The 26,199-nt window shown below is 42.7% G+C and overlaps 1 protein-coding gene and 1 long non-coding RNA gene across 3 annotated transcripts in view, besides 1 other annotated feature; both read left to right on the forward strand.

Moving 5' to 3' along the window:
* Positions 1 to 8,321, forward strand: part of LOC105378367 (uncharacterized) — a 31,394-nt gene extending 23,073 nt beyond the window's left edge. Inside the window, exons 2-3 of the long non-coding RNA NR_132791.1 lie at positions 7,072 to 7,356; positions 7,799 to 8,321. This is a non-coding gene — a long non-coding RNA (uncharacterized LOC105378367). The remainder of the gene's footprint in view (positions 1 to 7,071; positions 7,357 to 7,798) is intronic.
* The window catches only part of LRMDA (leucine rich melanocyte differentiation associated), a 1,128,545-nt gene that overhangs the window by 303,904 nt on the left and 798,442 nt on the right, over positions 1 to 26,199 (forward strand). The gene's annotated exons all lie outside the window — the stretch shown is intronic.
* Positions 14,059 to 14,560: an enhancer, noted in NCBI's record as "NANOG hESC enhancer chr10:77509344-77509845 (GRCh37/hg19 assembly coordinates)". NCBI's record gives its function as "activates a minimal SCP1, AML or CMV promoter by ChIP-STARR-seq in primed H9 embryonic stem cells {active_cell/tissue: H9 hESC(primed)}" and the evidence as "EXISTENCE:reporter gene assay evidence [ECO:0000049][PMID:30033119]".

The raw sequence follows: 26,199 nt of genomic DNA on the forward strand, positions 1-26,199 counted from the left end.
TCAGTGGGGAGTGCTGTGCTGTCCTGTGCACTGCCTTCTACCTAGCCATGCTGGAGGCACCTTGCTCCTGTGTTCTGTGGTGATTTGAGGCTCTGGGTTCTGTTTTCCATGGTCAAAACTTCTCTTCATCAGCCCAGAGTACATGTTTCAGATTGTTGAAATGAGTTGTTCCCACTCAAGCCTTGGGTTTGTGTGACACTGTTAATAGTCATCACCAGTCAGCAGACAACAGAAGCCGCTATCAGCTACCCTCTCAGCAAGATATTCACGAGTCCACCCGAGTCGCCTCAGAAGCAGCATATCCTAACTCATTTTATCTACGGATCGTGTGTGAGACACAGAGAGTCAGACACACACTGTTACTTATAAATTTTTTTTACATCTTTCCACGGTAAGATGCCTACACTTTAATTATGAACTTTTTATTTTTTGTGGTGGGGATGGCAGCTGGGCAAAAGGGTAAGATAGTGAGAGGAGGACAGGGCCAGAAGAAATTCTAAAGGATAGGATACATCAGCTTCTTTCCCAAACTCTCCTCGTTTAGTAAATGACGGCACGTGAAAGCAGAACATTTGGCACTTTGCACCAATATTATGGTGTAAAATTATAGTTAGGAATATTGTGTAAAAACCGTAATAGTTTGCAGTTATAGCTATAGTGAGAACAGCAGGCAAGACTATAAGCTTTAATTTATGTTGTGCTTTGGACATTTTTCAGAAACTATTTACCCATTACCTCTTAGGTCAGTGGCCTAATAATGCAACAAAGCACTTTTTGAAATTGCAGATAATTTTCAGTGCTCAGATCTCTGTGTAGTATTGATGGGGAGGGTGGTTGATTAGGACCTTGGGAATTGTGCTTGATGGGAACAATCTGGAAGGAGTGAAAAATTATTAAACACACACAGCGGGAGACGGAGGATTTACCATTGTCATGCGGTGCTATTAATTCTCATTGCTCGGTACAGAGGCTTGATTGCATACTGTGAATACTGTTTATTGGAGAATGGGTACAATTTTGCTGCAGTTGTTGTAATGTAATACTAAATGCTAATTAGGCTTCTAACAATAATTAGAACCTCTTGCCAGACTTAGAAATAGAAACACTCAATTGAATTTACAGAAACAAAGACCTTTAAGCTATGCCAGCAGCAGCATCGGCTTCAAGAAGTTTTTTACATTTTAGTTACAGAATTGCCAGCACATCTATCTATATATTTTTTTATGGTGTGCATAATGAGTTCATTTATATTCTTGATAGGATTATTTTCAAAACAAGATAAAGCAAACCTCCCCCTTCAATATCAGATGAAGAAAAACTACAAACAGGTATAAACCAAATGCACCTTTGTTGCCATGCAGACGCCAACTGCCAGCTATTTAGCTATTTAGCTATTTAGTAGGGTGGGGAAGGCAGGGCTGGGATGGGGAACACGGCTGATTTGGAGGTTAGGGCCATTCCGAATGCTTAAGGTTTTCCTAGAACCCCATGTTGTCTCCCTTCCTTTGTATACACACACATGCACGCACGCACGCACACACACACACACACGCACATGCATGCACACACACACATGCACACGCACGCACACACATGCACACATGCCTCAAATACCACCTGATTGCCAGTGTTGATTCCTTGGATCAGCTCCCTAAATTGCCTTCTTAAAGCTCAGAGTCCTGAGGCGATAAGCTCTTCTTTGGTGCTTGGCTTTGTCAACCCTTTCTAATCAACCAGGATGGCAAAACTCTCTCAGTAAAGTAAGGAATGCGTCAGATGTGCTCAGCAATGAGAAATAATTAGCTGAAAGTTTCCCTGGCATTCCCTGAGCCTTGTGGTTTCGCCCCCATCACCGTGGCAGGAACGTTGGGCCATCCCAAGAATGTGGCCATGGGTATCTGCAGCAGTCTGGGAGGGCCTGGGCATGTTTCTTGGCATGTGGGCAGGTTGCAGTACCATCATCTGGGTTGGTTTGGCAGCGGTTGAGCAAGGCCTTTGTTGTTGGGGTATCAATGCTATATTTAATTTCCTAATCCTGTTTTGTTTTGTTTTTAAACCCAGAGATACAAAGACTTCAGCAAACCTCATTGACTCTCCCTTCACAAATACACCACATGAAACAATTGAGCATGCCTCCCTCCTTTTAATCTTAACTCAGCCTAAGTTGGCTAGCTGTTCTTCGGTGCTGATAATTAGGTGCTTGACATGATGTATCATGTTGCCCCTTAGTCTGGAGCCATCATGGTAATAGAAATATAATCCTGAAGCCCTGTTCTGGAACAGTCTTAAGAAAACCTATAGTTATCACTGCTGCACTGGTGCCAAATTTCTGGGTGAAGTGAGTTTTTACAGGTTTCACTGGTTACTGAGAAACACGTTTTATGATGGAAACGCTGGAAGCACAGTTTTGCTCCAGCCTCCAGGGTGAGGCATGGCTAACTCTAAGGAGAGAAGCAATTTCCTGATTTCTCTCTGGTTTGGGTTAGAGTGGCCATTTTTACAAGCTGTCAAGAAACGATGTTCATAGAAACTTCCACTTTTGTGTCCTTGTTAATATTTCATCAGATTCATCAAACGCAGCCCCTTCCCCCATCCAAGTGTCCCTGCCCTCTAACCCCCTGGGGTAAAATTCTTCCTCCTTTTTTTTTTAAACGTAATTTTGAGTTCCTTTCATGTTTGTTTTTGAACTTCTCCCTGTCTCCTCCTTACCAAGGAGGTAGGGCCTTTGGTGGGGCTGGTGCTGGCCCCAAATCAGCTGCAGCTTCAGGTCATCCAAGCCAGTCTCTCCTTTCAGAGGAATTGAGTCACATTCTCTCTCTGCCACTCTTTGGTTTCACAGAGGCCTCTCCTTTCCCTGCCTCACTATTGGACTCTCCTTGTCCCATGTAAGTTTGGTGATTTGATCAGATTCTTTCTGCCATTCTTAACCGGTGATAGTGCAGTCTAATTGTGCAACTGGGAACAGACCAATTGTTTATAATGATCTCCCAATTTTGCATGAAATCTTAACATTCAGGGCAGAAGACGTCATTGATAAATAATCAATGACCAAAACGCCTTGACTTGGGTGGCTGATTCCTCTGTGCCCAAGAGTGCCGTGTGAGATGCTAAGTTTAGGTTTGGTCCTAATGGGGTTAAATCAAGTTCCATGACTCGAGGCAAGTGCCCCACGTTTGCCTGTCTTGCAGTTTATATGAAGTATGCCAGTGAAATTTCTAAGGAGGCACTGTGGGAGCATTTTTGTCTGCATTTTAGCAAATATGCTTGATTGCCAGAGGTGCTCACGTTGTGGTTTTTCCCTTCCTGAGGAGACAGTTTTTCTCGAGCTGGTCTGCCGAGAGTCTGTGAAGGATGGGGCCAGAGTGAGTCAAACGCTCTCTTTCTATTTTCTGGTTACATTTTTCTCGTTCACAAGTCAGTGGCACCTGCAAATGGAAGACTTGCTGAGGTAGCACCTGGCTGATTAGCAACTTTTGCTTGGTCCCACTCACACACTGACCGTTAAATTACCTCCTATCAGGCCTGGGCTGTGTGGCCGCTGCGAGAGGCAGGCGGAGGTCACCTCAATATGGCTGACATGTTCTGTGTTTTCCCACAGCATGTCACATGTAGCCAGTGCGGCGACTTTGACAAAGTACTGCAGGGTGACCTGGTAGTCTCGGGTCAGAGTGAGAGAAATTGGTGTTGTACTAAGATGTATGTTAATACATATATTATTTATATGGGCATTAGCGAATGCTATTGTTGCCTTAGCACAAACCCAGGCCCAGAGATTGGCCTTGGGGTTTTTGCAAGCTTACTTTATCATGTTTCTCCTCACCCCCTCCTCGCTCATGAATAATTAAAAACTTAAATTACTTGCCATGTACAAAATTCATATGCTGGGGAAAATAGCTACATGAAAATTAATTTTCTGTTCTGTGAGACTGACGGGAAATCAATTAATCTTGATGTATTATTTTATGCAGAACAGGGTGCAAGAACCTGCGGAGAGAATGGCTACAGCTGTTCTTGTTGGTCAGGCCATATATTATCGTTGGCGGGTTTGACAGCTTCTGAAGGAAATGGCTGAGGGGTATCAGGCAGGTGAATCAACTGTAAAAATTTATTGGAGGATACAAACTGTTTCCAGGGAACTGATATAAAACTCACACTTGAGAACTGAAGTATTGAATGTTTTTGTGACTGAAGCAGCTTGTTGTCAATATTTATAGCTTTTCTCTTTGTTACATGTCCTATTTGTTTGATTAACTAGTCAGATGTTAGTGTCTGTCGGTAATTTATCTGTTGTGCCTTCTGTAGCATTTTTGATACATAAAGATTTACCACTAGATAAATAAGGCAGCACACACAATGCAATATGCGAAATAAAATGACAGAGCTGTTTACAGCATGTTGCAAGTTTTATAACTCATGAGGTAGATCGGTAACTTTTGTTTACTGGTGTCACTGTTTGTTGAAACATGTCTCAATGTATTAAATACCATGGGGGTAAATAAAGCTCTTTTAAATAAGCAGAGATTGTAATCAACACATACCTCATGGTAAATCATTTAAGAGGCTCTATAAAAACGTTTATGTACAGCCATACATAATGCATACATTTCTGAAATAAAATAAAATAAATGCGTGCTTTTAGAATAGGCTGTAGTTACATTCCTCTCCCATGCCATCGACATCAATTTCCCCTGTAGATGATGGAGGTGCGATGTTCAGACAAATGCTGACGCAGACCGACGGGAGCTGGAGGCTGAGGGGCAGCGGCCTGGCAGGTGATGTCTCTCCAGTCTTGGGGAATGGCTCCTGGGAACACGGGTGTCTGCTTGCGGCATCACTGGTCATCACAGGCTGGTGGGGCTGGGTGGTTGTGGCTGTCAGTCTCAGGCAGTTGAGGCTGACTTTTTGTGCAGCCCTGTGTGATGTCTGGATTTAGGGAGACGCCAGGAAAGTGGATGTAGATAATGCTTTACCCAGGGCCCCTCTGTGACCACCTGTCTCTTCCCCATCTCCAGGCAACAGCAGCCACTAAGAAGTGCTAGAGTCATTGGCTTCCTAAGAAATTGGCATGAGCACTCAGGCCCCCTTATCCCTACACAGAGAGGCGGAAACTGTACCATGTGCCTGGCTGTGTATTCTTCAAATATCAGGCTCATGGCATTTCAGCTAAGAATCCCAACATCTGTTGATCAGCAACAGACTTGGCAAATAGTGGTGCTTAGTAAGTAGCCCTTGAGACAGAGGACCTGATTTGTGATTCAATTTCTAATAATTCATAAATGACTCATGAATAGCACTCAATTTGAGGGCCATTATGACACTTTGAGAGGCATAGTAAGAGTATATTGCATTGATATAGTATGGTGTACTCTTTTAGAAGCCTGTCATTCATATATATATATATATGGAATTTATGTTAATCAGGATAAGCATATATTAAGGTATGTTTATTAAGTCACAAGAAGATCTCTTACTTGGCCAGTTTGTGGGGTGGGGATGGTTTGGGATTGCTCTGTAATAGACTACCACTAGCTTAGCAGCATGAAACAACACTGTTTACTAGCTGTAGGTTGAGAAACCCAGCAAGCCTGCCTGGTAAAGAGTATCAGATAGGAAACAGATAGCAAACAGCACAAGGCTGGAATCAGGGTGTCAGCCCCTGTGTATTTCTTTCTGGAGGCTCTGGCAAGAACCCACTTCCAGGCTCTGTCATGTCGTTAGCAGAATGCACTTCCTTTTGGCTGTAGGACTGAGGTCCCTGTTTTCTTGCTGGCTGTTGGCCAGGGCACATTCTCAGACCACATGCCCGCCTCCATCTCAAGTGAGCAACTCTCTCTCATGTTGACTCCTCCTTACCTTTCTGATCTCTCTGACATACGCTTCTGCCACCAGCCAGAGAATACCACTGCTTTAAAAAAAAAAAAGGCTCACATGATTAGGTTACACTCACCCAGATAAGCTCCATGTCTTGAGGCTACTACCTGATTGGTAACCTTCATCTGTGGAATCCCTTTTGGCATGAAACCTCCATAAACATGGAAGTAGGATAAGGGAGCAAGGGTTATGGGGTCATCTTAGAATTTTGTCTACCACAAGGGTATTTGGTGTGACGTTTATGCTGTGGATTTTTCAGAGCAACCGCGTTCTTAATCCTTATCTTCGTTTTGGTGTCCTACAACCTGGCCTGGAAAGAAGAGGGCCAACTCTGGGTGGGTTCCATCAACAAGTACATGTAGAGCACCTGCCGCACAGCCAACCTTCCTGTTATGGACTATTTGTTTATGTCCCCCAAATTTCTGTGTTGAACTCCTAAGCCCCAGTGTGATGGTTTTAGGAGGTGGGGCCTTTGGGGGGTGATTAGGTCATAAGGGTGGAGCTCTCATGAACGATGGGATTAGTACCCTTATAAAAGGAATCCGTGAGAGCGCTGTGAGGACAGAATGCAAAGACAGTTATCAGCAACCTAGAAGAGGGCTCACGCCAGGATCAGGCCATGCCGGCACCCTGACTAAGAACTTCCATCCTGCAGAACCACGAAAAATACGTTTCTGTTGTTTGTGAGCCACCAGTGTATGGTGCTTTGTTATAACAGCCTGTACTGACTAAGATACGTGCATTATAGGCAGGAAGTAAAAATCTCTGTAAGATGCACGTTCCTTGCTCTCTCCACGTCAAAGTTTTTCATACACATATCATGAGATTGTCAGCCAATCAAGGCATCTGAGGACAGGGGCTAAATTAAGTGGGAATTGAGTGGGAAAGTAAATCCTTGGGAGTTGAAGCAGGCAAAGGAAGGCTTCAGGAGACGAAATGGTCAGTGGGCCTTGAACAAGGCAGACAGTTCAACAAGATGGAGAGAGAGGGGCAAGGCCACCCAGGTGGCAAAGAGCCTACTGTGTGGGGAAATAATGGGAAGTCAGATTGAGCTGCAGTGGTGGGTCCTCCCCCAACACTTGAATAGGTGTGCTGTGGGGGTGGATGGGAGGCACACTATGAAAAATACATGTGTGTTCATGATAAGCCACATGGGGACAGCCACATGTTGAAATCACATGAAGTTCCTTTTTCTTACAGAAGCCTCTGGAAGGACTCATGTCCTCCATCCCTGCCTACAGCAAGCCTTTGCCAAGGGCCCTCTGCTCTTGGGGTACAGGTGAATCATTCTGAACAGTGTGAGAAGTTCTATACACAAAGTTCGAAGCCCAGCCTTCACATTGAGATTATCTGAGAAACTTGCAAAAAGGATACCAATGGTCAGGGAGTACCTCAGACCAACTCGATCAGATTTCTGGTGGTTGGCATGGGGATTGGGATTGTATGGAAATGTTCTCCAGGTGACTTTAATAGCAGCTGGCCAAGGTGAGAATCACTTTAATGTATGATCGGTATGCACAAAACATTATGTGATTAGTGCTATTCATTCTGATTAGGAGGTGACATTTGGAGTGGGGTCTTGAAAATTGAGAAGGCGTTTACCAAGTAGGCAGTGGGGGATGGGGAATTTCAGGCGAAAGGGGAGCATCATGAACAGAAGCATAAAGATGGGGAAGATTATGGTCTGTGTGGAGACGAAAGCTGCCCACAAGGGAGCGAGGGAGCTGGGAGGGGGTGGTAAGAGATGAGGTGGGAAGGATGGGTTGGGTGAACCTTGAAATAATTGTAGTTGTACTTTGTGGAAGAAAAAAAACTTTATCATCAAGGCTTTGTCCTGATCCAACCTGACCTTCCCCTCAGTTAATCCGAATTACTGAGGTTTGACTCCATGTTCAGTTTCTCTGAGATTTGCTTTGATTTCTCTTAGAAGTGGAGCTGCTGTTTATTCTCCCGGTGGCTCTGTGTACACGCTCTGCCCGTGGAGCTGCCTGGGATGAGCCGTGAGTCCTCTGAGAACTGCTTCCTGTTTCGTCTGGTAACTCCTAAGCCTGCCTTTCTTTCCTACAGTCTGCATTTGTGGAAATCTGCAGTATTTGAAGTTTGGAGGAGATCAATTTTTCATCCTTTCCTTCGTGGGATAAAGAATATTTCAACCACCTCTGGAGACCAAAGAGTTCTGAGAAGTTTTGAAATAGCTTGGGAAATACACCACGTGCTTCACACTTCATTTTTCTCCTCTCTCTTTCATTGTTTGACTTAATTAAAATATTGTAATGCAAGAAGGAGAGATGAGGCAAACGTTTAGAGAAGGAAAAGGAAATGGGTTCATGTTTAAACTGACTCTGAGCAAGCATGGCGATGGTAGTTTGAAAGAATTCTGAGCATGTAGGAAGGTAAACTCAAAATGTTCTTCCTGCCTGAGAAGTGATTAAAATACCTGTGAGCACCAACACTATTGTCGTTAATGAAAACTGTGGCCAGCTTTCCCCACCCCCAAGTGCTCCCCACAACCCAAAGAAAAAATTGGAACATTTTTGGGTCCAAGTTTCACAGATGTTAAGCATTTTGTGATATTACTTAGGGGGTTTCCTGAGCTGCATTAAAGTTGAACCACTAGGGTGTTGAAACAGTTGGGCCCCATAATAAAATATACATGAAAAGGAATTGTGAAACATTGGCTGTTGTGTGTTGGTGACAATTAGGTTACTGTTTTAAAAAATACATACCCTGGACACATCTATGGGAGCTTTTTAGAGAATTTTGAGTAGCACTAGAGTAAAGGCGGTTGGTAATTTCTCTGGTTGCCTCTGGCAGGTGGACATAATTTAACAATACCCGTCAGATATGACAAATTGTTTTTGAGTTACATTAGGGCCTTAATAAGATCACATCTGTTCATATATCCTCCTTAACCACAGAGCCTGATTTAGAGAGGTTTCATACTGGTATGATATTGTTGTTTAAATATTTAGAGGGGTCTAGACATGTATCATAAAAGAATAGACTCTTGTGTATAAAAACACAGTCCTTTTATTCTCAGTGTTTTTGCTTTCATGGACCTTGCATCATTCTGTCTACTTGAGTGAACCACATGTTGCTTCTAGGAGCCAGAAAATATATTTCATTCCTCATCAGAGTTAGTGTTTTAGAGCTGGAAGAGGCCTTGGAGACCAACTTATCCAGCTCCCCTCCTCTTTAGGGTAGAAACCTGAGATGGAGACAGAAGGAGGGGACTTATTTAGGGTTTCTCACCCCATTAGTGGCAGAAACAGAATCAGGACTTAGATCTGCCAATTTGTAGTTCGGTCGTCTTTCTGTTATGCTAGATGTTCACCTGGGACCTGAAAATGTGGCCATTGAGGCACTTTGATGTGTCACTGTCCCTTAGAGGCTGCAGTCCTTTCCAGGGGACATTCCTGGCCACTGAGAGGGCCAGGCTCTTTGCTATGTATTCAGATTCAGAGCCCAGATCCTCTAGTTTAGGAATACCTAAACTATCTCCCTGCCTGAAGACCTTCCTGTGCCAGCGTACTTTCTGTCACTTCCCTGCTGACATGCACAGGCACAGGCAAGTCTCTCTCCCATCTCTGACCACACTGTGCACGTCCCCAACTCTGCTCACACTGTTCCCTTCTCCTGGAATGTGTCCTCTTTGCTATGTCAGTTACTGTCATGTCCAGCATAAGCTCCATCTTATCATGACGTCTCCCAAGCCCACAGAGGTGTGTTAGGTCGAATCATGTGAAAATGCTGTTTTATAGGTGAAAAAGGTCAAATATTGTCAGTTTTGTAAGATGCAATCTAACTGTAGATTTTTTAATACCCCCATGTTACTCATCTTCTTTTATTCATCATCTCTCTCTCTCTTTCTCTCTCTCTCTCCGTGTGTGTGTATAATATAAATTGGGGCAAAATTCACATCATATACATAAAAAATCAGGGTGAAATTCACATAACATGATTCGCATCTTTTAATTTTTTGTTATTAACTATAGTCCTCATGCTGTACTTTAGACCTCTAGACTTAGTCATTCTACATTACAGCAACTTTGTGCCCTGTGTCCTATATCTTCCCATTTCTTTTAAAAATAAACTTTAAAAACACTATATTTTGGAATAATTTTAGATTTACAGAAAAGTTGCAAAGATAGTACAGAGCATTCCTGTAATTCGCCTAACCTAATTTCAGTTTCTCCTAGTGTTATCATTTCCTATCGCTCTGACACCATTTGTCAAATTTAAGAAAACATTGGAACAATATTATTGATTAAAACTCCAGACTTTATTTGGATTCCACTGGTTTTTCCATTTCTGTCCTTTTTCTATTCCAGCAACGAACCCAGGGGCCAGAATGCCACACTGCTTTTAGTTATCATGTCTCCTTCGTTTCTGCCGGTCTGTGACAATTCAGCTTTTCTTTGTTTTTTCGTGATGACCTTGACAGTCAAAACACTGGCCAGGTATTTTGTAGAATGTGCCTCAACGTGGGTTTCATATGATGTGTTATTTCATGATTTGTTTGAGTTACGGATTTTGGGAAAAGTACCACACAGGTATCACATTATCTCAAGGGGTACATGATACCAGCCTGGCTTCTCACTAGAAATGTTAACCTCAACTACTTGGTTAAGGTATTTGTTTGGGAGGTTTCTGCACTGTGAAGTTACTGTGTTCAGCTTCTTTTCCTACTGGCATCTCACCACCAGCTAGATGAACATTTCTTCTCTTGGGAGCAGGAGCAGGCTTGGTACTTTCTGTATCTCCCATCATACCTAATGCCATGCCATGTTTTATATAGTGTAAATGCTCCACAAACATTAGTTAAGAGGTCATTACGTAAATAATTTAATTTCAGACTGACAGAGGTGTTTGGTTTAAACAACTGAAACAATACAATTCCAACTCACTGAATTCTCCCTGCAAACTAGTTTGGTGGTCTTGGTTCACTGCACTTAAGGGGTAAATCGTAAAACTACTTAAAATTGTTTTCGTTCAAACTACCATGAAGAAAGGATTATCTGCTGTCTTTGCTAAGATCAGAACTTCTAGTTCAGGACTCAGGAAAATCTGAGTGTAAATTAGAGAGACACACGTACACTTTTGTAGCTTCTGCTGCCTTGTAGCGTGGGTGTCCCTATTTGCAGAGGCTCTTACAAATATTTGTCAGAGGGTTTGATGATTCTAGAGCTAAGTCATTGTTTAATGAATTCCTAATGGCCCCAAAGAATTACCACTGTGAATACATTTTATTTCATCATCATAAAAATCATTTTTCAAATACTTATCTGTGCAGATGTCTCAGAGTGCGTGGGTAGAGAGTGCTATTTTTGGGGGGGGAGCTTATATTTTGACATGGCCCTTATGGAAGACAGAAACAATTAGGACACATCCTAAAGGAAAAGAGGGAAGAAAAAAGAATTTTTATTATATTAGAGTTGAAAACTAGAAGCTTTGGAAGTGAGAGGAGGAGGAAGAGGAAGAGGGAGTTGTTCTTTTATAAATTTCCTTAAACAGAGATCTTAGGGGTAGATCTTATTGGGGTAATTCCTTTCTACTGTGATGGAGAAGTTGGTATTCTGTGATGATGATTTAACCGTGGTTCTGAAGATATCTATGGGAATTAGAGTAGCTGATTTATTATTCCATTTAAAGAGGTTTCTTTTTTTATTTAATCTTTTTTAATATGGGGAAAAACAACTCTTCAATAGTATAAATTAGTTCATGCTAGTTTTTCAGTCTGAGAGTCTCATGATAGCTACACTTGCTTCATGCTTTATTATGTAATTTAATTTTTCGTATCTTTTATTAGCTGTAAAGTAGGTTTAGAAAAAATAATTAGATTACGAGGTTAAGCCACAGTTAAGATAAAAATGACAGTTCAATAAAAAAAGTCGAATATAATTCCTGTCTTCTAAAATAAAATACAGCCGCTAAGAGATTTAATTATGGTATTATTCAAATAAATTTTGCCTCTGCATTGGAAACACTCAGGAAAGAATCTCTGAGAAAAACATGTGGTTAACAAGCAAAAAATAATGTGATACATAAAATTATAATTTATGAAATACGATAGGGACCATATTGAGAGGAAGAAGAAATAACACAATTGAGTAACTACCCCTAAAGAGATAACTGGGATTACTTAAGTTACTGTGTTGGTGAGACCACTATCTTTGGTCTAACTTTTTGTGTGATAAATTGTGAGTTTTCACCATTTGGGTGATCTTGGAATGCTGTATCCTTTCCTTAAAATGATCTGTAAATGATCAGATATTTTAGGGTCATAGGGTTCTAAAATTAGATGTAGAGGAAGCTTCAGAATCTAGCCCTTCATTTTACGTGAGAAGAAAGAAAAGTCCCAAGAAGTCAAGTAGCTTTCCCAGGCTGAGTGTGTAGATGGTAGGTTTTCAGAGTCCCAATCGAGTGTCCCCTCTTCTACACTAGATTGCTATTAGGATTGATTTTTAAAAATTAAATCAATTTTTTTAATAAAGTAAAACAAGAATACCATTAAGAAAGTCAAATAGTATTGTTTTGCTTAAGGCTCCTAATAAATAAAAAACTAGTAGTGCCATGACCCACCCTCTGCTAGTCTAAATCCTTTCTGCACAGGCGACCATCTTCAAATTTGTGAGCTATCATTTGCTATTTATCATCATACTTAAATATTTAAGTAACAGGCTTTTATTGTTGTTTAGCTATTTTTTTTTTCCAGACAGAGTTCTGCTCTTGTTGCCCAGGCTGGAGTGCAGTGGCATCATCTCAGCTTACTGCAACCTCTGCCTCCCAGGTTCAAGTGATTTTCCTGCCTCAGCCTCCCGAGCAGCTGGGATTATAGGCACACACCACCACACCTGGCTAATTTTTGTATTTTTACTAGAGATGGGGTTTTACCATGTTGGCCAGGCTGGTCTTGAACTCCTGACCTCAGGTGATCCTCCCACCTTGGCCTCCCAAAGTGCTGGGATTACAGGTGTAAACCCCCATGCCTGGCCTGTTTAGTGATTTAAGAAAAAAATTTAGACATCTATCAAACTCTTTTTTCCTTATATTTCCTCTATGTAACTGAACTCATTATATGTTCTTTTGCCTAATAATTACACTTGGAGTCCAATTATAGAAATTTCTACGTATTAAAAAAACCATTTAGGGCCAGGCCCTGTGCTTCTCATTTCTACAACCTGGGGAGATGGCATGAGATGCTGACCATCATCTAGCTCGAGATGGTACTGTGTTTGCTCCGTTATGATTACAGTTCCTTTAAGTCACTGTTGTTCAGGCTGGGAGGTGCATCCCATTCGTGAATTGTAAAATCAATTTAGTGGGTTGTAACCAACATTATAAAAAATAGGACAGAATAGAAAATATCAGAGTTCAATAATATAATGTTCAATATAAGACTCCTATCTTCTAAAATAAAATACAGCCACTGAGAGATCTAATTATGGCACATAATTAGGACAAATACTAGTTTATGCAACTTTTATATCTGATATATACATTTATATGTATGTGTATCTATACACACATACAGAATTATACATACATACACATTACATGCAGGTAGATACATATACAGTTGACCCTTAAACAACATGGGTTTGAACTGCATGGATCCACTTATATGTGGATTTTTTTTCCAACTCTGCTGCCCCTGAGACAACAAGACCAACCCCCACTTCTTCCTTTTCCTTCTCAGCTTACTCAATGTAAAGATAATGAGGATGATGTCCTTTACGATGATCCACTTTCACTTAATGAATAGTAAATTTATATTTTCTTCCTCATGATTTCCTTAGTAACATTTTCTTTTCTCTATCTTACTTTATTGTAAGGCTGCAGTATGTAATACATATAACATACAAAACGTGTTAACCTACTCTTTATTAGTAAGGCTTCTGGTCAATAATAGACTATTAGTACTTTTGGGGGAGCCAAAAGTTTTATGTGAATTTTTGGCTGTGGAGGGTTGGTGCCCCTAACTCCCATGTTGTTTAAGGATCAACTGTATACATACATACACACATACAGATATATATTTATACAGATATATATGTGTATATGTACATACACACACATATATATCTGTATATGTTTATGTGTATTATATATGCATGTGTATATGTATTTATTTTGTGTATTGGGCCTCAGTGTAAAATGTATTTCTTTGAACATCTGAAATTATTGGTTTTTTGGTTAAAAAAAAGCACCAGTCAAATATAGAAACTTTTTTTTTTTTTTTTAGTATTTATTGATCATTCTTGGGTGTTTCTCGGAGAGGGGGATTTGGCAGGGTCATAGGACAATAGTGGAGGGAAGGTCAGCAGATAAACATGTGAACAAGGGTCTCTGGTTTTCCTAGGCAGAGGACCCTGCGGCCTTCCGCAGTGTTTGTGTCCCTGGGTACTTGAGATTAGGGAGTGGTGATGACTCTTAACCAGCATGCTGTCTTCAAGCATCTGTTTAACAAAGCACATCTTGCTCCGCCCTTAATCCATTTAACCCTGAGTGGACACACCACATGTTTCAGAGAGCACGGGGTTGGGGGTAAGATTATAGATTAACAGCATCCCAAGGCAGAAGAATTTTTCTTAGTACAGAACAAAATGGAGTCAGGATGTCTACTTCTTTCTACACAGACACTGTAACAATCTGATTTCTCTTTCTTTTCCCCACTTTTCCCCCTTTTTCTATTCGACAAAACCACCATCGTCATCATGGCCTGTTCTCAATGAGCTGTTGGGTACACCTCCCAGACGGGGTGGCGGCTGGGCAGAGGGGCTCCTCACTTCCCAGATGGGGTGGTCGGGCAGAGGCGCCCCCCACCTCCCGGACAGGGCGGCTGCCGGGCGGGGGCTGCCCACCTCCCTCCCCGCCGGGGCGGCTGGCCGGGCAGGGGCTGCCCCCCACCTCCCTCCCGGACGGGGCAGCTGCTGGGCGGAGGGGCTCCTCACTTCTCAGACGGGGCAGCAGGGCAGAGACGCTCCTCACCTCCCAGACGGGGTGGCGGTCAGGCAGAGACACTCCTCAGTTCCCAGACGGGGTCGCGGCCGGGCAGAGGCGCTCCTCACATCCCAGACGGGGCGGGGGGTGGGGGGCAGAGGGGGTCCTCACATCCCAGATGGGGCGGCGGGGCAGAGGCGCTCCCCACATCTCAGAGGACGGGCGGCCAGGCAGAGACACTCCTCACTTCCCAGACGGGATGGCGGCCGGGCAGAGGCGCTCCTCACATCCCAGATGATGGGCAGCCGGGCAGAGATGCTCCTCACTTCCCAGACGGGATGGCGGCCGGCCAGAGGCTCTCCTCACATCCCAGACGGGGCGGGGGGGCAGAGGGGCTCCTCACATCCCAGACGATGGGCGGCCAGGCAGAGACGCTCCTCACTTCCCAGACAGGGTGGCAGCCGGGAAGAGGCGCTCCTCACTTCCCAGACTGGGCGGCCGGGAAGAGGGGCTCCTCACATCCCAGATGATGGGCGGCCAGGCAGAGACGCTCCTCACTTCCCAGACGGGGTGGCGGCCGGGCAGAGGCTGCAATCTCTGCACTTTGGGAGGCCAAGGCAGGCGGCTGGGAGGTGGAGTTTGTAGCCAGCCGAGATCACGCCACTGCACTCCAGCCTGGGCAACATTGAGCACTGAGTGAGCGAGACTCCGTCTGCAATCCCGGCACCTCCGGAGTCTGAGGCGGGCAGATCACTCGCGGTCAGGAGCTGGAGACCAGTCCGGCCAACACGGTGAAACCCCGTCTCCACCAAAAAATACAAAAACCAGTCAGGCGTGGCGGCGCGTGCCTGCAATCCCAGGCACTCGGCAGGCTGAGGCAGGAGAATCAGGCAGGGAGGTTGCAGTGAGCCGAGATGGCGGCAGCACAGTCCAGCCTCGGCTCGGCATCAGAGGGAGACTGTGGAGAGAGAGGGAGAGGGAGAGGGAGACCGGGGAGAGGGAGAGGGAGACTGGGGAGAGGGAGGGGGAGTGGGAGAGGGAGGGAGAGGAATATAGAAACTTTAACCTGCTTTTAACCTACTGAGTCTTACTGTGGGTCATGGACACAAATATTTGGGATAAATTTAAATAATTTCAGTTATCTTACATCAAAATAACTTTGTTTTCTTGGCTGAGTTTCAGTTTTGTCATCCGTAAAATGAGAATAATAATTGTATCTACCTCAAAGAAGGGTTGGGAGGATTCAAAGACTTAGCATGGCCCTTGCCCATAGTAAGCACCAAATAAATGTTGGTGGCTATTGCTATGGTCCTCACCATCACTGTTATCCTCCACTTCCCACCCCCTAGACCCCTGCAGTGATCTTTATTTCTCATTTACTCTTAGGACATCCCCTTTCAGACCCATCAACATTATTAAATACACGGCTCCTCTCATTAATGGGTCACACGTACTGATTTTCACTCACAGAGAGGTAGTACCTTAGTGGAGGCCTTCAAGATTGTGTGCTCAAACCAGTAGTTCCTGAAGTGGGCTGTGCATCCAGAGGCAGGCAAGGCTTGGGCTGGCATGGACTTGCACAATGAGGAGGTTTTTCTCTTTTCAATTCTCTTTCAATCCTTTAGTTTAAATCTAGGGGAAAATGACGAGTTTGGTGCTGCACTTTAATATCTTCCTACTGTAAAATAAATAAATATATATATATATATAAACAAAGATTGGGACTGAGGCTCAGAGTAGCTGATAAGGAGTAGTTATTTGGCCTTTAGTAATAATTTTTTGTTTTCGTGATACTTAGACATATGATTCTGTTTGGTCATTGGCAAATGAGATTGGCTTCTATTATGGGAGTGATATAACGTGTCTCTTTTTTTTTTTTTTTTTTTTTTGAGATGGAGTCTCACTCTGTCACCCAGGCTGGAGTGCAGTGGCTGATCTCAGCTCACTGCAAGCTCCGCCTCCCAGGCTCATGCCATTCTCCTGCCTCAGCCTCCTGAGTAGCTGGGACTACAGGCGCCCGCCACCAGGCCTAGCTAATTTTTTGTATTTGTAGTAGATATGGGGTTTCACCATGTTAGCCAGGATGCTCTTGATCTCCTGACCTCTTGATCCACCCACCTCAGATCCCAAAGTGCTGGGATTACAGGTGTGAACCACCACGCCCAGCCAATGTGCCTTTTAAACATCAATTTATTGAAGTTAAAATATTCAGTAATTAGTACACGTGGTATACTTTGGTATGGTGACATCATGAAGGTGTACACTAATGACACAGTTTTGGGTCATGGTGGTTTGTTCCTAAATGAGACCCAGAGATGTTAAGCAACTGAGCTAGGGAGAGTTAGAAACAGCTAGGAGCAGAACCTGTGTCTTAGGTATGTTCTCAGTTTGTTAGGGTTGACACTCTAGGATCACATTAAATGAAGCTTGTGTTAAACCAATGAGCTTCTTCTCTTCTGGCCTACTTTTTGTTTAAGGGTTTGTTGCTACTGGGTTTGTCTTGGTTGAATTTACTCCTGCAATTCTGAGACCAATTCGAGTCTGAATTGCGTCATGCATAGCCCCTTTCAGCTACCATTGATCTGTGTCCACCTACTTTTATGATTCTTCTGGTTGTACAGTATTTTTCTTCCTCAGGTTTTGAGTTTTCTTTGCCTGTGGTTTGAGATTGTGTCTGATTCAGATAGGAGAAGAGGGCACCATGCTGTGTATTAATCGTAGTGGCAGATGAGTTGACTTTTTTTTCCTTTTCCTCCATATGTAAAATGGGTGTTGTTGCAAGTTAGATAATCTGAAGGTACCCTGTTCATTTTTAAAGCCCTACAAAGCTGGAATCTCACTTATCCATTCATTCTGCAGATATTTGTTGAACCCTTATATACCAGGCACTCACTGGACTAGTTGAAAGTGCTGAGAATAAGTAGTACCTAAGGGCAGTGGGGACCTTACCTTTGGGAATCTTATATTCTAATTAGAGGAGACAGGTGATAGATAAACAAATAAATTTAAAAGAGACAATTTCCTATGGTTCTAATAAAACAGAGTGATGGCATAGAAAGTGATTTGGAGGAAGAGGCCTAATTTTGATATGGTGGCCACGAAAGTCCTCTTCAAAAAGCAGGGAGCTGAATGGTGAGGAGGCAGCTGTGAGAAGCTCAGAAGTGTGTGTGGGTGGAGGGGACAGCATGTGCAAAGGCCCCAGGCAAGTGCAAGGAGGAGAAAGGGGGCTGGTGAGCTGGCTAGGAAGGTGGGGAACGGAATGCTGACAGAGGCAAGGGAGGCCAGAGCCAGCCTGTGGAGAGGGTTGAGCCTAGAAAGGAGTTTGGCTTTGATTCTAAGGGTGATAGGAAACCAGTGAAGCCCAGATGAGTTTTAAGGAACTGGATAATAGAATCTGATTTGTGTTTTTCACAGCCACACTGGCTGCAGGTTAGAAATGAGGCAGGCAAGAATGGAAGTGGGGTAAGGGGGTCCAGTTAGCACAGTCATTGTGGTGGTCATGGGATAGATGCGGTGCTACGAACCAGGGAGCAGGCAGTAAAGATGGAAGGAAGTGAAGAGATTCAGGCTGTATTTTTAAGATAGCTTAGCATTTGCTGGTGCATTGACTGTGGGAATGAAGGAGAGGAATCAAAGATGTTTCCCAGAATGGTGAATTACGGCTATGGGAAGGCAAGGTTCCTTTTGCCCTTGATGACATCCTTGTGCTGTCATTGTGCCTGGATTTTATTCTTCTGTATATGCACATTCCTGCTTCCAGCCAGCCCTGCCCAGGGAAGAAAAATCCTTCCATGCCTTTGGTTAGCCTGAAGGCTCTCCAGTTCTTCCTTTATCTGACCTGCATTCCTCATGCTGTGCTTAGGTCTAGGTTATACCCTGTGAAGAGGTGGTTTTATAGGGGTCTTGTGGGCAGGGCAGATGGTGCTATTAATTCATGCTTCTGTTATGGGAATTGATGGCTTGTAGCCAGGATGCCATGTTGATATTTATGACTGGTTTCTATGAAGAGTTCATGTTCTCAAAAAACGTATTGTATTCTGTTTTCCAAGAAAAAGTTGAAGACAGGCTGAGCAGTGGATATTTTTTCTCTTTTCATTTTCCCAGCATATAATACAAGTTGCATTACAATAAATTCAGTCAGTTCAAATGTTTTTCATCTGAAAAATTGAATACATTCTTTTTTTCGCCTAACTGCACGGGGTGAACTTTTATATTTTTATGGGCTTTGTTGTTTTTACTTGTCACAGTTGCTGGTATTAGTTCACTAGTAAGTAATGACTTTTCTGTATTGAGAAAGACAGATGACTTATTAGATGTCAGAGGCCATCTGAAACATTTTCAACTCAGCATTTTTAATAGCTGTTCTTTCTTTGATTTGTTTTTCCTTCTTTCTCCCCTTTTCCCCGTTTCCTTCATCCAGCTAGCAGGAATTTTTTCTCTCTCTCTCCCCTCTTTCTCTCTCGGTCACTGCCTGTCTGCGTATCTTCTGAATGTTCTTACTGCAGCCTCACATCCATCCACGGTCCGTAGGAGCCATAGATTGTTGCTGGATAACTTTTCCTGCAATTTTATTCTATGGATTTCCTATGGAAAACAGTCTTGTGTATCTATAGGTATGAATCTAATTTTTCAAGGATTAAATAAATAGTGGATGGTGTGCTGGCAAGCTTTTGTTTTTGACCTCATGGAAAAGTTTTTTGGTTTTTTTTTTTGTTTGTTTTGTTTTGTTTTTTTAAACTTTTGGCTGCTTTCTACTTTGGGGTTCTTAGGACACCATAAAAATAACTTCTTCTCCTTCCCTTCATCTACTGTCAACACAGACACAGTCTTTCACTTTGCTCTGTTCTTTGCACATCACTTTATTGTGCTCATGGTCTCAGAAAAAAGTCTTAGTTAAATGAAACAGTGAAACACCATTAATGTAGGTATGGTCAGCTTATGTAGTACAAATGGGCTTCATTTGGGGCACTATCTTATTACCATGTCATTGTGCCTAGCACATAGCAGGTGTTCGGCAAAGATTTCTTAGATGAATGAATGTCTACCTAGATGATGATTAGGAACTCCATTAGTTGGGGTTGGGGGCAAGTTTTTGAACAGTGAACAAGAAAGACATTACTCTAACGGCAACATGCATTCTAATGAGGAAAGAGACAAAGGTATAAACAAGACAAGTATCAGATGGTGATGAGTGCTATACCAAGAGTTAAGGTAAGGTGATCTGCTGTGCTATGACTTGGGAATCAGGGAAGTCTCTGAGAAGATAATGTTTAAGCTGAGATCTGAGTGACAAGAAGGAGCCAGTCAACAGAAGATCAAAGAGCAGCAAGATTCAGGCCAAGAAAGCAAGCAATGCAAAGGTCCTAGGCTGACGCAACCTTGGAGTGTACATGGTGCAACATCGCGGCAGCGGCATCAAAAGCTAGCCAGGCTGTGCAGTGGGGAGCAGGCAGCTGTGGTGTGCAATGGGGTCAGCGACGTGCCTGGGGCCAGACCAGCTGGGACCTTATGCTACAAATAAAATCCATATTCCTCCACTTGCTTTGCAGTGGGAAGCTTTGGAGGGTTTTAAGTGGGGCTATGGCTTACATTCTAAATGTACTGGTCTGGCTGGCATGTGGAGAATGGATTGTAGAGGAGCAAGAGTGGAAACTGTGGTGATATGTACTAGATGTTTCTTTGCTTCTCAGTGGAATATTTTTCTTTAAAGTTTACCAGAACTTTTTGGTTAGGGAGAGTGTAGCTTGTCTTTGTTTACTGATTTTTGTGCTGGGGCAGAGACTTCTGTTTGCTTACCATATCCATTCTCTTCAACGTTTCATTGACAAAATCCTTGGTTTTTAGTTGGGATAGTGCCACCCTTGTAACTGTTTCCTTGCAACTAGGAGCTAGGTGTAGCCACGCAGCTAAGTCAAAGTATTGCGTAGGACTTCCAGAAAGTCTTCTTAAAAGAGAGCGGGTGTTCCTTTCTTTTTTGATTCCTCCCAGTCTGCTGCCTGGAACTGGTTGTGATGGCTGGAATGCCAGCATTCATATTGGGTCATGAGGACTAGGACTACATGCTAGGAGTGGTGGAGCATAGAGTTAGAAGGACCCTGATGACCTCCTGGAGATCCCCAATATCAGCCTTGGCCTGCCTGCCTTTAGACTTCTTTTATGTACCAGAGAAATAAACTGACTTGCTCCGACCATTGATATTTTAGTGTTTAGTTTTTGTTCTATGCAGCTGAACATAATCCTAACTGATAAAGGTGCTCTCTTTTTGAGAGCCTTAATGAACAATAATAGTGATGAGGATAGAATTATTGGGTGCTTTCCATGTGTCCATTTCTCCCCTAAGCCCTTTGCCTACATGTTTTCTCTTAATCTGTACAAGTCATGTGGGCTGGTATCACATGTGGGGCTCCAAGGCACAGAAATGTTCAGTAATTTGCCCAAGGTGGCATAGCTAGTAAACTGGAGGACCTGGATTCCAACTTTGGTTCAAATGATTCTAAAGACTCTTTTCTTCATCACTGTTGAATTGCCACATTACTGATGATGACTCTGGAATCACTTTCTCAATCATTTAGGGACTGAGGCCAGAGGGATGATTTAGGAGGCAGATTTGTGTCATGTATTAGTCTTGAACTATAGTGCATTGTGACTTGAACTATATTAATGGGGCTCCAAATTTTAACTATTGATGGTTTCAATAGGAATTTACATTTCTGTCTTCCTGGGGCCCAGAAATCACTAAATTCTCACCTGTGGTGAAGAGACAGCCACAATGGGGAATTGGTTTCAAAGACAGAAAGCAGAAACCAAATTTCCAGGGCTTAGCACAATAGAAGTTTATTTCTCACGTAAAATCCCTCTCCTTTATCCTTCTGCTACCCTCCCAACCTCCCTTCCCCATTCCCAGGGGCCTCAGGTTCTCTGCTGGGTGCTTTTCTCTCAGTCAGCACTCAGGGGAAGAAGGAGGATTTAGGAAATTGTACGAGAGGTTTGATGGGCCAGGCTTGGAGATGGGATGCAGTGTGTCCCAAATGCCATTGGCTGGGACTCAGTCACAGGTCACACCTGCTGCAGGGAGGTTAGAACGTCTAGCTATATGTCCAGGAGTTGAAGAAGTGGGTTTTGGAAAGCATGCAGTGATCCCTGTCACATGCGGTTGTTAGGGGTGGGGGCCCTGGCATTGGTCCCCCCGTGTTTACATCCCAGCCTGGCTGTTTGTCAGCTGTGTGACCTTGGGCATGTGTCTTGACCACTTTTCCGTCTTTTAAAAAAATGGGTGCAATGAGATCATAGTGGAACTGCTTTGAGGATTCACTGAGTTAAGATGGTATGTACGGTACTTAGAACAGTGACTGAGACACAATAAGTGCTCAATAATTGCCAGCTATTTTAATTTAAATCAGACCACTTTACTCTGCATTGTAAAGTTTGTAGGGCAGATTTGCAGACAATTTTCTTTCTTTTTTTTTTTTTTTTGTTAAGATGGAGTCGCACTCTGTCATCCAGGCTGGAGTGCAGTGGTGTGATCTCAGCTCACTGCAACCTCCACCTCCTGGGTTCAAGCAATTCTCCTTCCTCAGCCTCCCAAGTAGTTGGAATTACAGACATATGTCACGATGCCTGGCTAATTTTCGTATTTTTAGTAGAGATGGGGTTTCACCATGTTGGCCAGGCTGGTCTCAAACTCCTGGCCTCAAGTGATCCACTGTCCTTGGCCTCCCAAAGTGCTGGGATTACAGGCATGAGCCACCACGCCCAGCCAGCAGGGAATTTTCTTATTGAGCCCTGGTGAGGCAGGTGAACCGTAAGAGGGACCTTCTGAAGCCGGTGTCCTAATTGGAGGCAAAGGGTGTGAGGGGGGTGACGGGAGTGCCGCTTGGGGGCTTGCTGCCCCCACCTGGGTGTGCTCCCGCCCTCTCAGGAAGGGCCAGCTGGGCTCCCTCCTGTTGCCAAGTCTGTTTGAAAAGTCGGAAACTAAGTTCTCACGTCCAGTCTCCTGCCCACTGTGAGGAATGTCGCCCATGAAATTCCTTCCCTGTGGGATCCCTTCTCCATCAAGATCTGGTCTGTTCTTGAAGACCCCACTCAGTGTCATCTTATCCCTCAGCCCCGGCTGGGACCCGTCAGCGTTGCTCAGTCCCCTCACTGTATTATCGTTCTAGTAGAGCATTTCTACAGTCCGTCTTGCGTGGCAGTGAGGCAAATGCTAGGCTGGGTCCGCCAAATGGAGGCTTCCTAAGGGCAGGAGCTATGTTGTTACTCCACACCCCTCATGTGTTTGTGGAGTTTAATTATTACTTTTATTATCTACAGCCATGTAGAGTTTTGTGAGTGTAGTCTTTGTAGTAAATCAGTGCTAGATAAATTGGCATGGAGTGTGGAATAAAAACAAGTGGATTCTTTTTTATTTACACTGTTTAATATTCGTGTGGGGATTTTTGCCTTCTTTCAGCTCAGCGGTTGTAAAATTCTGTTTTAATTTCTGCCATTATCATAAACAGCATCCTCTGGTTATTATCTGGGTAGAGGATGCTGCATATGAGGACTCTATTGAATTAAGATTAAACAAATTGCCAGGGGTGGGACATAGAACCACTGTTGCTTTGCCAGTATTTTTTTTTTTTTTCGTCAAGAAGTTCACTTGGTGATTTAAATGGGTACATTTACACCTATGGGTTTAGAGTCCTATATATCCACATCTATCTGTTCTTGGTAAACCATAGGAAAGCACTAACCTTTCTCTCTGAGTATTTGTGTGTACACACATCTATAAAAATGAAATTACCTGCAAAATCACTGAAGATAAAGGTTAGCAAATTCCGTACATGGATACAATCAGTGGTGCTGCACTATGTAGTTAAACAGGAAATGGGGTTTAGTTATTAAGCTTGCGTAGATTGCTTGATATACTGAATATTTCTTGGAGTTCTATTATTTGTATTTTATTCTCAAATATTTTAAGAAGATAAGCTTCTAAATTCACTTTGGGGCTCCGTGTCATCAAATCTCATCACCAGTCACTTAGATCCCTAATTAACTTATACTCTATAGACCCATTTCTTTGCTTCTGTTTCTCTCTGCTCTCTCTAATGGTACTGTGAGTTACACTGTAAGGAACAATAAGATTTAAGAGAAGAATTAATTTAGAAAGTTAGGAATAGAAGAGATAAGGGAAAATGAGAAAAAGCAGCTCAGTATTTTGTCTTGTAAATGGCTTTCTTCTTGTAGGCTAAGAAGCCCATTTATCCAAGGAGAGGAGGAGTGCTAATGAAATAGATCATGAACATAGCTATTACAGTAATGAATTTTAACACTCACTTTGTTATGTGATATTTTATTTATGAGCTCCTTGATCATTTAGATAAAGACAAGAAGTTTATGGCACTAGATTATGTCTTGTTTTCATAAACATATTCAGTAGTTTAATAAACATAATTTATTTTTTTCTCCTTAAAAATCAGCAAAATTTATGAGAGATTATCTTAGGGTTAATGAAGTCTAACATTAAGGAAATATTACCCTATAATATTGGAGCCTTCAGAGCTAGAGTTGTAATTGCTTAATGCTTTTTTCTACAGGCTATTTTTATAAAGTACATGCTTTGTACCATTAATCCAGTTTTTACAAGTTATACTCAGACCAATTCATTGGGAATTATGTATCCATGTTTATATTTTTCAGTCACCGCTTTCATTAAAAGATGTAGTAAACAGTTGAAAATTTAATGTAGAACAAGGGGGAAAAGACAATTATGTGTATTTGCTCATGGGAAAGTGCAGTGCATGGGTTATCACTGCTTTCTGTCTTTGAAACCAATTCCCTGTTGTGGCTGTCTTCACCACAGGTGAGAATTTAGTGATTTGTGGGCCCCAGGAGGACAGAAATGTAAATTCCTATTGAAAGCCATCAATAGTTAAAATTTGGAGTCCCATTAATATAGTTCAAGTCAGAATGCACTTAAGTAATGAAAAGCCCAGATGACAGGCTGGAGTTTACCCTTCCTAAGTCAGGTCTGCCAATTAGCTGGGTAATGGATGCCTGGACCCCCAAGATGGGATTGAGAGTGGCTGGAAAGGGCAGCTGGGGAAGACCACTATGGATTTTGGTCGTGTGCATTTGACTGTGTCAGCTCATTCTTTTTTGAAATTGAATTTAATGTGTTGAAAAATACCCTCTTGATGAATTAATGAACTAAAAGAGGTATTGATATTCGAATAGTGGCAGAAGCAGGGCCTTCCATCACCACCACCACCCTCCCCTGCCCCTGTCCCCATATTTTATAATAGAAAGCTCAGCAAGGGCAAAGTTTAAAGGAATCTCTTCTGATTGTCTCTCTCCTCACTGCAGGCAGGGTGGATAGGGAAGGATGAGGGCAGTGGATGAGGAACTCAGATCCATCAGTGAAATAGCTAATCCTTTACTGACTTCTTTTCACCTCTTTTGATGTTTGCCTTTTGACATTCTTTGGCATCAGGGCATACACTTGCTTGTGTATATGTTGGTGATGGAGGAAAATCAGGTAATGAGAGATCTGTGTGGACTTGAGTCACATTGTGAGCTGTGGTGAGGAGAGATGCCTCAAGTGTGTGCTGTCCTGCCTTCAACAAGAGAATGAGAATTTGATTTAATCCATTTTTGTATTATAAAAAATATTCAATGAGAATTCAATAAGAAATCTTACTGTTCTAGGCCTCAGGATCCAAAGATACTTAAGAATTAAGGTTCTTGTCTGCATGGAACTCACCACAAATTCAGAAATGTTCAAATAGTTTTTAAAAGTTGAAGATGGCCTCCTCAAAAAGTTAAACATAGAATTACCATGTGATCCAGCAGTTCCACTTCTGGGTCTGTAACCAAAATAATTGAAAGCAGGTCTTGGACAGATATTTATACACCCATGTTCATGGCAGCATTCTTCACATTAGCCAAGAGGTGAAAGCAACTCATGTCTATCAACAGATGAATGGATAAACAAAATATAGCCTATATTTACAATGTAATATTATCCAGCCTTAAAAAGGAATGAAATTCTGATATGTGTTACACCACGGATGAATCTTGAACACACTTATGCTAAGTGAAATAAACCAGTCACAGAAAGACAAATACTATCTGATTCCACTTATGTGAGTTATCTAGAAGAGGCAAATTCATAGAGACAGAAAGAAGCATAGAGGTTATCAGGGGCTGGGGGACAGGGAAACGGGGACTTACTGTTTAATGGATACAGAGTTTCTGTTTGGGATGATGAAAAAGTTCTGGAAATGGATAATAGTGATAGTTGTACAATATTGTGAATGTACTTAATGCTACTGAATCATATATGTAAAAATACTTATAATGGTAAATTTTATGGTACGTATGTTTTACCACAATAAAAAAGAAGGA

The sequence above is a fragment of the Homo sapiens genome, chromosome 10, assembly GCF_000001405.40.
Source record: "Homo sapiens chromosome 10, GRCh38.p14 Primary Assembly".
Taxonomy (NCBI): domain Eukaryota; kingdom Metazoa; phylum Chordata; class Mammalia; order Primates; family Hominidae; genus Homo; species Homo sapiens.